The sequence below is a fragment of the Homo sapiens genome, chromosome 10 (genome assembly GCF_000001405.40).
Source record: "Homo sapiens chromosome 10, GRCh38.p14 Primary Assembly".
Taxonomy (NCBI): Eukaryota; Metazoa; Chordata; class Mammalia; order Primates; family Hominidae; genus Homo; species Homo sapiens.
This window is the reverse complement of record NC_000010.11, coordinates 81,027,257-81,037,381: the sequence shown is the minus strand read 5'-3', so window position 1 is coordinate 81,037,381 and position 10,125 is coordinate 81,027,257. Positions and strand designations below refer to the sequence as shown.

The 10,125-nt window shown below is 41.0% G+C and overlaps 1 annotated feature.

Annotated features, from left to right (window-relative positions):
• Window positions 7,826–8,327: an enhancer, noted in NCBI's record as "H3K27ac hESC enhancer chr10:82788811-82789312 (GRCh37/hg19 assembly coordinates)". NCBI's record gives its function as "activates a minimal SCP1, AML or CMV promoter by ChIP-STARR-seq in primed H9 embryonic stem cells {active_cell/tissue: H9 hESC(primed)}" and the evidence as "EXISTENCE:reporter gene assay evidence [ECO:0000049][PMID:30033119]".

Sequence of the window (10,125 nt, the reverse complement as noted above, 5' to 3'; positions counted from 1 at the left end):
GATAAATATTGATATATTCACATTGGTGAATATTAAATAAAGTCCTTTCTCTGTATTCAGTTTCCTTAGTTTTAATGTTATTTTTCTGTTTTAGGATGCCATCCAGGAACCACATTACACTTAGTTGTTACGTTTCCCTAGGCTCCTCTTGACTGTGTCAGTTTCTCAGACTTCCATTGTTTTTGGTGTTTTTGACAGTTTGAGGAGTACTAGTCAGGTATTTCGTAAAATGTTCCTCAATTTGGCTTTGTCTGACATTTCTCTCAAGATTAGACTGGAGTTAAGAGTTTGGGGAAGGAAGACCACAGAAGTAAGCACCATTCTTATGACATCATATAAATGGTACTATCAACATAATTTGTCACTTTTAATGTTAACCTTGGTCACCTATGAGATAGTGTTTTGCATGTTTCTAAAGTGTAAACTCGTTCTCCCTGCCTGACTTCCATACACTACTCTTTGGAAGGACATGTGTGTCCCTCATACTTAAGTAGTAAGGAATATGCTCCACTTCCTTGAGGGTGAAATATCTATATAAATTTTTAAAATTCTTCTGTATGAGACATTTGTCTCTTCTCCACTCATTTATTTAATCGTTATTTACATCAGTATGAACTCACTATTATTTATTTTATACTTTGATTTATAATTCAATATTGCTTTAATTATGTATTTACTCAGATTACTCTAACTTTGGGCACTGGAAACATTTTCAATTGGTTCTTGTGTTCCTTTGGCATACTCATCATTGTGAGTTCATTGTTGTTGTTGTTGTTTCCTCTAGTTGATTTTTGGTTCTGCCTGAATTGTTCATCTACCCACATTTTTCTGCATCTGGGGATGATGCAAACCAAAACCAGAACATAACCACATTTTTCTTATTTCCCCTGAACCTCTCAGGAGGCTATTGTATATAGTACAACATTTCTGCAGATGCCATGGTAACAAGGATAGAGACTTCACAGCCCAGCGTCTGTCACACTGCTTCCCACGCTGTTCTTGGGTCACACCTACTATGGGGAATTTTTCAAGGTGGAAATCTCTTATAAAGATCTTGCCCCAACCTCCCAACCTCGCCAGCTGCTAAGGCTCCCAGAGTCTCCTCACATTTCCCTACAACTCCATCTGCTACCCACTCCCAAAACGTTAGATCTTTCAGACCAAGTTTCCACATCCCCACCCTCAGTTCACACCTTCTGAGTGCTGTCTTCCTCCCATCTGATGCCACCTTCCTCTAGAACATTCATAGGAAAGGGGGCTTGTCATCTCATGTGCATTCCAGTGTTTAAATTAAAATGCTGAATGATGGTTGTATAAATCCTCATAATCACAGTACTAAGCTCTTAACAAGCAGCTAAAAACACTCTAACTACTCTGTTGAATGGTTATGTTTTTCTGGCACCTATACCCCACAGGTATGACTGTGAGTACACTTCTTCTAGGACCTTGGCCCTGCCGGCATTGCCTCTACCCTAGCACCCCCATCAGACATCCATCCCCCCAAAAATGGCTGCACAGATGGCCATTTCTCTGTCCAACACAAGAATTTCTCTCCTTTGTGTCCCTTTCCTGCAGCTTGGCCATGTACCTCCTATCGCCACAGGGCATTGCCTTGAAGAGGCTCCATTCCAGTGAGACACACCTGGGTTGAAATCGCAGCTCAGAACTTCACAGTTGTGTGATCTTAGCCAGGTTCCATTTCCTTCAGAGCTTGAATTTTCTCATCTTTGAAACAAAGTGCCTCTGCTTTCGCCGTGATAAGGTAAGACTGTCTTCTATTCTGCTCTGAAACTTCATGATACACAGCTCAGCATGACAGCTTGTTCCACATGTTGAATAGCCACTGACTACTCACTCTTCTCTCTCTGCCCTGTGAACAGCAAACCCACCTCTCACCTGTTCCAACTCTCTCTGTACCTCTACTCTTCAATAAGCCACCCCAAACAACATGTCATTCCCCAAAAGGCCTTGACACGGGGAGTCAGTTGCTCTCTAAAATATTTTTCCTTTCCTGCTGGACAACCTGGAAAAATATAAACCTCCCTCCATCTGAAGTTCAAACATCACATTCACCTACTCACCTTCCCTGAAGTACCCACATATTCTTCTCATAAGAAACTAGTATAGACCCTATGACTACAAGAACCTCCTTAAAACATGATGCTGAGATTGGACTTCAATTGATTCCATCACCCAGGTACTGAGCATAGTACCCAATAGTTAGGTTTTCAATCCTTTCCCCTCTCCCTCCTTCCTTTCTTTTGGAGTCCCTAGTGTCTATTGTTGCCATCTTAATGTCCATGAGTACCCATTGTTTATCTCCCACTTATAAATGAGAACATGTGTATTTTGTATTCTGTTTCCATATTAATTCACTTAGGATAATGGCCTCCAGCTGCACCCATGTTGTTGCAAAGGACACAGTTTCATTCTTTTTTATGACTGCATAGTGTTCTGTGGTATATATGTACCATATTTTCCTTATCCAATTCACTGTTGAAGGGCACCTAGGTTGATTCCATGTCTTTGCTACTGTGAATAGTGCTACAATAAACATATGAGTGCATGTGTCTTTTTGGTAGAACAATTTATTTTTCTTTGAGTATAGACCCAGTAACAGGACTGATGATAGTTCTAAGTTCTTTGAGAAATCTCCAGAATGCTTTCCATAGTTGCTGAACTAATTTACATTCCTACCAACAGTGTGTAAGAGTTCCCTTTTTTTCCACAGCCTTGCCAGCATCTGCTGTTTTTTTCACATTTTATTACTAGCCATTCTGACTGATGTGAGATGGTATCTCACTGTGGTTTTGATTTGCATTTCTCTGATGCTTAGTGATGACGAGCATTTTTTCATACGCTTGCTGGTCGTGTGTATGTTTCCTTTTGAGAAGTGTCTGTTGTTTCTTTCGCCCATTATTAATGGGATTATTTGGATTTTGCTGATTCAATTGTTTAAGTTTCTTATTGATTCTGGATATCAGACCTTTGTCAGATGCATACTTTGAGAATATTTTTCCCATTCTGTAGATTGTCTGTTTACTCTGTTGATAGTTTCTTTTGCTGTGCAGAAGTTCTTTGGTTTAATTAGGTCTACTCGTCAATTTTTGGTTTTGTTGCAATTGCTTTTGAGGACTTAATCATGAAATCTTTCCCAAGGCTGATGTCCAAAGTGGTGTTTCCTAGATTTTCTTATAGAATTCTTATAGCTTGAGGTATTACATTTAAATCTTCAATCCATCTTGAGTTAATTTCTCTATATGGTAAATGGTAGGGGTCTAGTTTCATTCTTCTGCCTATGGCTAATCAGCTATCCAAGCACCATTTATTGAATACAGAGTCCTTACCCCCACTGCTTATTTTTGTCAACTTTTTTTGAAGATCAGGTGGCTGTAGGTGTTCAGTGTTATTTCTGGGTTTTCTATTCCATTCCATTGGTTAATGTGTCTATTTTTGTGCCAGTACTATGCTGTTTTGGTTACTGTAGCCTTATAGTGTAGTTTGTAATTGGGTGGTATGATGCCTCTAGCTTTGTTTCTTTCTTTTTGTTTTTTGGTTGTTTTGTTTTGCGTTCTGCTTAGGATTGCTGTGGCTACTTGGGCTCTTTTTTGGTTCTATATGAATTTTAAAATAGTTTTTTGTTCTAGTCCTGTGAAAAATGACCTTGGTAGTTTAATAGGAATAGCATTGAATCTGTAGATTGCTTAGGGCAGTATGGCCATTTTAACAAGATTGATTCTTCCAATCCATGAACATGGAATGTTTTTCCATTTGTTTGTGTCATCTATGATTTCTTTCAGCAGTGTTTTACAGTTATTTTTGTAGAGATCTTTCGCCTCCTTGGTCGGATGTATTCCTAGGTATTTTTTTGTGGCTACTATATATAGGATTGCATTCTTGATTTGGCTCTCAGCTTGAATGTTATTGGTGTATGGAAATGATACTAATTTCTGTACATTGATTTTGTATCCTGAAACTTTACAGAAGTCATTTATCACTTCCAAAAACCTTTTGGTAGAGCCATTAGTGTTTTCTAGGTATAAAATCATATCATGACCAGAGATAGTTTAAATGCTTCTTTTCCTATTTGGATGCCTCTTATTTCTTTCTCTTGCCTAATTGCTCTGGTAAGGACTTCCAGTACTATGTTGAGTAGGAGTGGTGAGAGCAGGCATTCTGTTCTTGTTCCAGTTCTCAAAGAGAATGCTTTGTTTTTGCTCATTCAATATGATGTTAGCTGTGGGTTTGTCACAGATAGCTCTTATTATTTTGAGGTTAGTTCCTTGGATGCCTATTTTTTTAAGAGTTTTTAGCATGAATGGATGTTGGATTTTATTGAAAACTTTTTCTGTGTCTATTGAGATGATGATATAGTTTTTGTTTCTAATACTGTTTATGAGGTGAATCCCATTAATTAATTTGCATATATTGAACCAATCTTGCATCCCAGGAATGAAGATGCCTTGATCATGGTTCATTAACTTTTTGATGTGCTGCTGGATTCAATTTGCTTGTACTTTGCTAAGGACTTTTGTGTTTATGTTTGTCAGAGATATTGGCTTGTTGTGTCTTTGCCAGATTTTGATATCAGGGATCACAGAATGGGTGGCTTCATGGAATTAGTTAAGGAAGTATAGCTTCTCCTTGATTTTTTGGAATAGTTTCAGTAGGATTGGTACCAGCTCTTCTTTCTGTGTCTGTTAGAATTTGGCTGTGAATCCACCTGGTCTGGGGCTTTTGGGGGTTGGTAGGTTTGTTTTTGTTTTTATTTTGAGACAGGGACTTACTTTGTTGCCCAGGTTGGAGTGCAGGGGCACAAACATGGCTCATTGCAGCTTCAACCTCCTAGGCTCTAGCAATCCTCCCAACTCAGCCTCCCAAGTAGCTGGGACTACAGACCCATGCCACCAGGCCTGGCTAATTTTTGTATTTTTTGCAGAGACAGGGTTTTGCCATATGGCCCAGGCTGGTCTCAAACTTCTGAGCTCAAGTTATCTGCCTGCCTCAGCCTCCCAAAGTGCTGGAGTAACAGGCATGAGCCACTGTGCCTGACCAGGTATTTTATTACTGATTTAATTTTGGAACTCAATGTTGGGCTGTTCAGGGTTTCCATTTCTTCCTGCTTCAATCTTGAGAGATTATTTCCAGGAGGAGTTTATCCATTTCCTCTAGATTTTCTAGTTGTGTGCATAAAGATGTTCATAAGCATCTCTCGTGATCTTTTGTATTTCTGTGGGATCAATTGTAATGCCACCTTTTTCATTTCAGATTTGGCTATTTGAATCTTCTCTCTTTTCTTCTTTGTTAATCTACCTAGCACTCTTAGATCTTCTTTATCCTTTCAAAGAACCCACTTTTGGTTTCATGTATTCTTTCTATGTATTTTGGTGTCTCAATTTGCTTAAGTTTCACTCTGATATTAGTGGGGTTTTTTTTCTTCTAGTAGTTTTGGTATTAGTTTGTTTTGTTTTTCTAGTTTCTCTAGGTGTGAGGTTAGGTCATTCATATGAGATCTTTCTGACTTTTTGAAATAGGCATTTAGTGCTATAAACTTTCTTCTTAATACTGCTGCATCCCACATATTTTGGTATGTTTTGTGTCTGTTTTCGTTTCAAATAATTTTTTATTTCTGCCTTAATTTTGTTATTCACCCAAAAGTAATTCAAGAGCAAATAAGTTAATTTCCCTGTAATTGTATGGTTTCAAGAAATCTTCTTGGTATTAATATATATATTTATTTATATTCTACTGTGATCTGAGAATATGGTTGGTATGATTTCAATTTTTTAAAATTTATTGGGACTTCGACTTCCTTTACGACCAAACACGTAGTCCATCTTGGAATTTATTCCATGTACAGATGAGAAGAATATATATTCTGTGTTTGATGGGTGGAGTCTTCAGTAGATGTCTATTAGATCCAATTGATCAAGTGTCACATTCAAATGCAGAATTTCTCTGTTAGTTTTCTCCCCTTGTGATCTGTCCAATGCTGCCAGTGGGGTGTTGAAGTCCCTGACTATTATTGTCTGGTTGTCTAAGTCTTTTCATAGTTCTAGTAGTAATTGTTTTATGAATCTGGGTGCTTCATTGTTGGGTGCATATATATTTGGAAGAGTTAAGCCTTTTTGTTTAACTGAACGCTTTATTATTATAGAATGCCCTTCTTTGTCCTTTTTCACTGTTGTTGGCTTAAAGACTGTTTTATGTGACACAAGAATAGCAAACCCTGCATTTTTATGTGTTCCATTTGCATGATAGGCCTGCTCTAACCCTTTACTTTGAACCTAGGTGTTGTTATATGTGAGATGGGTCTCATGAAGACAGCAGATGGGTGGGTCTCATTTTTTTTATCTAACTTGCCATGCAGTGACTATTAAGTGGGGACATGTAGACCATTTACACTAAAGGTTAATATTTTTATGTGAGGTTTCTGTCTTCCCTCATTTCCTGGATTGCTTTAGAAATTTCTTTGTGCTGATTCCCAACCTTGTCTTAGATCTCATTAAACCTACTTGCAGTCTGATATGGTTTGACACTGTGTCCCCACCCAAATCTCATCTGTAGCCCCACCCAAATCTCATCCCATAATTCCCACATGTTTTGGGAGGGACCTGGTGAGAGATGATTGAACCATGGGGGCGGGTCTTTCCCGTGAATGGGTCTCACAAAATCTGATGGTTTTAAAAACAGGAGTTTCTCTGCACAAGCTCTCTCTTTGCCTACTACCATCCACATAAGATGTGACTTGCTTCTACTTGCCTTCTGCCATGATTGTGAGCCCTCCCAACCATGTGGAACTGTAAGTCCATTAAACCTCTTTCTTTTGTAAATTGCCAAGTCTCACATATGTCTTTATCAGCAGCATAAAAATGGACTACTACAGTATATTGGTACCAGGAGTTGAGTGTTGCTGAAAAGATACCCAAAAATGTGGAAGTGATTTGGAGCTGGCTAACAGGCAGAGGTTGGAACAGTTTGGAGGGCTTGGAAAAAGACAGGAAAATGTGGGAAAGTTTGGAACTTCCCAGAGACTTGTTGAATCGCTTTGAGAAAAAATCCTGATAGCAATATGGACAATAAAGTCCAGGCTGATGTGGTCTCAAGTGGAGATGAGGAACTTTTTGGGAACTGTAGCAAAGGTGACTCTTGTTATGTTTTAGCAAAGAGACTGGTGGCATTTTGCCTCTGCCCTAGAGATTTGTGAAGCTTTGAACTTGAGAGAGATGATTTAGGGTATCTGGTGGAAGAAATTTCTAAGCAGCAAAGCATTCAAGAGGTGACTTCTGTGCTGTTAAAGGCATTCAGTTTCAAAAGGGAAACAGTATAAAAAAAATTTGAGAGGTGCATTAACATTTGGAAAATTCACAGCCTGAGAATGCAATAGAAAAGAAAATCCCATTTTTTGAGGAAATATTCAATCCAGCTGCAGAAACTAAAGAGGAACTGAATATTAATCACCAAGACAATGGGGAAAATGTCTCCAGGGCATGTCAGAGACCTTTGTGTAAGCCCCTTCCATCACAGGCCCAGAGGCCTAGGAGAAACAAGCGGTTTTATGGGCCAGGCCCAGGGTCCCCATGCTGTGTGCAGCCTAGGGACTTGGTGCCCTGTGTCCCAGCTGCTCCAGCTGTGGCTGAAAGAGGCCATTGTAGAGCTCAAGCCATGGCTTCAGAGGGTGCAACCCTCAAGCCTTGCCATCTTCCATGTGGTATTGAGCCTGTGAGTGTACAGAAGTCAAGAATTGAGGTTTGGGAACCTCCACCTACATTTCAGAAGATGTATGGAAATGTCTGGATGCCCAGGCAGAAGTTTGCTATAGGGGCAGGGTCCTCATGGAGAACCTCTGCTACGGCAGTGCAGAAGGGAAATGAGGGTTGGGAGTCCCCACACAGAGTCCCTACTGGGGCACTGCCTAGTGGAGTTGTGAGAAGAGGGCCACTGTCCTCCAGACGCCAGAATGGTAGATCTACTGACAGCTTGCACCATGTGCCCGGAAAAGCCAACACCAGCCCCTGAAAGCAGCTGAGAGGGAGGCTGTACCCTGCAAAGCCACAGGGGTGGAGCTGCCCAAGACTATAGGAACCTACCTCTTGCATCAGCATGACCTGGATGTTAGACATGGAGTCACGGAACATCATTTAGGAGCTTTAAGATTTGACTGCCCCATTGGATTTTGGACTTGCATGGGGCCTGTAGCCCCTTTGTTTTGGCCAATTTCTCCTATTTGGAATGGGTGTATTTACCCAATGCATGTACCCACATTGTATCTAGAAAGTAACTAACTTGCTTGTGATTTTACAGGCTTGTAGGTGGAAGGGACTTGCCTTGTCTCAGATGAGACTTTGGACTGTGGACTTTTCAGTTAATGCTGAAATGAGTTGAGACTTTAGGGGACTGTTGGGAAGGCATGATTGGTTTTGAAATGTGAAGATATGAGATTTGGATGGGCCAGAGGCCGATGATATGGTTTAGCCCTGTGTCCCCACCCAAATCTCACCTTTAGCTCTCATAATTTCCACGTGTTGTGGGAGGGACCCAGTGGGAGATGACTGAATCATGGGGATGAGTCTTTCCTGTGCTAGTCTCGTGATAGTGAATGGGTCTCACAAGATCTGATGGTTTTACAAATGGGAGGTTCTCTGCACAAGCTCTCTCTTTGCCTGCCATCATCCACATAAGATGTGACTTACTTCTCCTTGCCTTACGCCATGATTGTGAGGCCTCCTGAGCCATGTGGAACTATAAGTCCATTAAACTTCTTTCTTTTGTAAATTGCCCAGTCTTGGGTATGTCTCCATCAGCAGCATGAAAATGGACTAATACACCATTCATGTTTTGAATTCTTCATCTTTCATTTCTGAGTTTCTATTTTCATGAGGGACCATTGCTGGAGAGCTTGTGTTATCCTTTGGTGGTGGTACTACTTTAGATTTTTCATGTTGCCAGAATTCTTACTCTGGTTCTGTCTCATCTGGAGATGTTAACACTTTCAATTTTTGTAATTATTTTCATGCAGGTAGGATTTTTTTCCCTTTCTCTCTTTCCTTATATTATTGTTTCCTTCTTTCCATTTCCCTTTCTCCCTATGTAGTGTACCTACAGAGAATGCTGAGTAGGGTCTTTTGGGTTTGTTTCTGTACCCCTATACATGTTTGTTGGAAGGTTTTATATTGGGCTATGAAATTTGACCTACAATCAGTAGACAGTGCCATGCTGTACCACAATCTATGCAGAGGAAGAGTGGGGAGGGTCAGGCTGCTGGTCCAGACAATTGGGTGTTCCAAATGTCTGGATTTCTGCCTGCGGGTAGAGATGAAAAGGCCCCACTGCACCATTATCTATGTCCATGAAGAGTGGGGATGCCCAGGCTGCTGGTCCAGAAAATTGAATGCTCTGAATACCTCAAATTCTGCCTGGAGGTGGAGCAGAGAGGACCTTGCTGCACCACAGTCTCAGGGGAGCAGGCTGGGCTACCCAGAATGACTAATGCAGACCTATTCCAAGTCATCAAGCTGGTCCTGGCTACCAGTCTCATCATCCAGGAGAAACTGCTGCTGTAGTAACTTTTCTCCTGCCGTAGGCCCGCAACAGGGAATAGCACAATTCCAGTGCCTACTGCTAAGGCATTTTCCACAGTTCTGGCTGAATCATGGGGACGGGTCTTTCCTGTGCTGTTCTTGTGATAGTGAATGGGTCTCACGAGATCTGCCCCACTCTAGAGCAAGTGCTCCAATCTCTGGCCCAAAACTGACTACACAGCCATGCTGCCAGGTCACCAGAGAATGACTAACTTTGTATGCTCCTGGATTAAAAATGGCATCCTGCTCAGCATCCCAGGTCTGGGGAAATGCCTGCAGCTTTTCCCAGTGTTTCTCTTTCACAGCATTTCTAAGGCTCTCTCCAAGTTAGCTCCACAGCTTCGGAGAAACAAAGTGCTCTCCCTTAGCCTGGATTGCTTGGATCCCCAGGGGAAAGATGAATCACAGAGGGAAGCTCTCTGCCTCTTTTGCATACTGGAGCTTCACTCACTTTTATCAGCTGGATGCCATCACAGGGGCTCTTTGCCCATATTCTCCTCCCCAGGACCTGGTGTGTCCTTCACAATTCCAGTGGATTCCCATT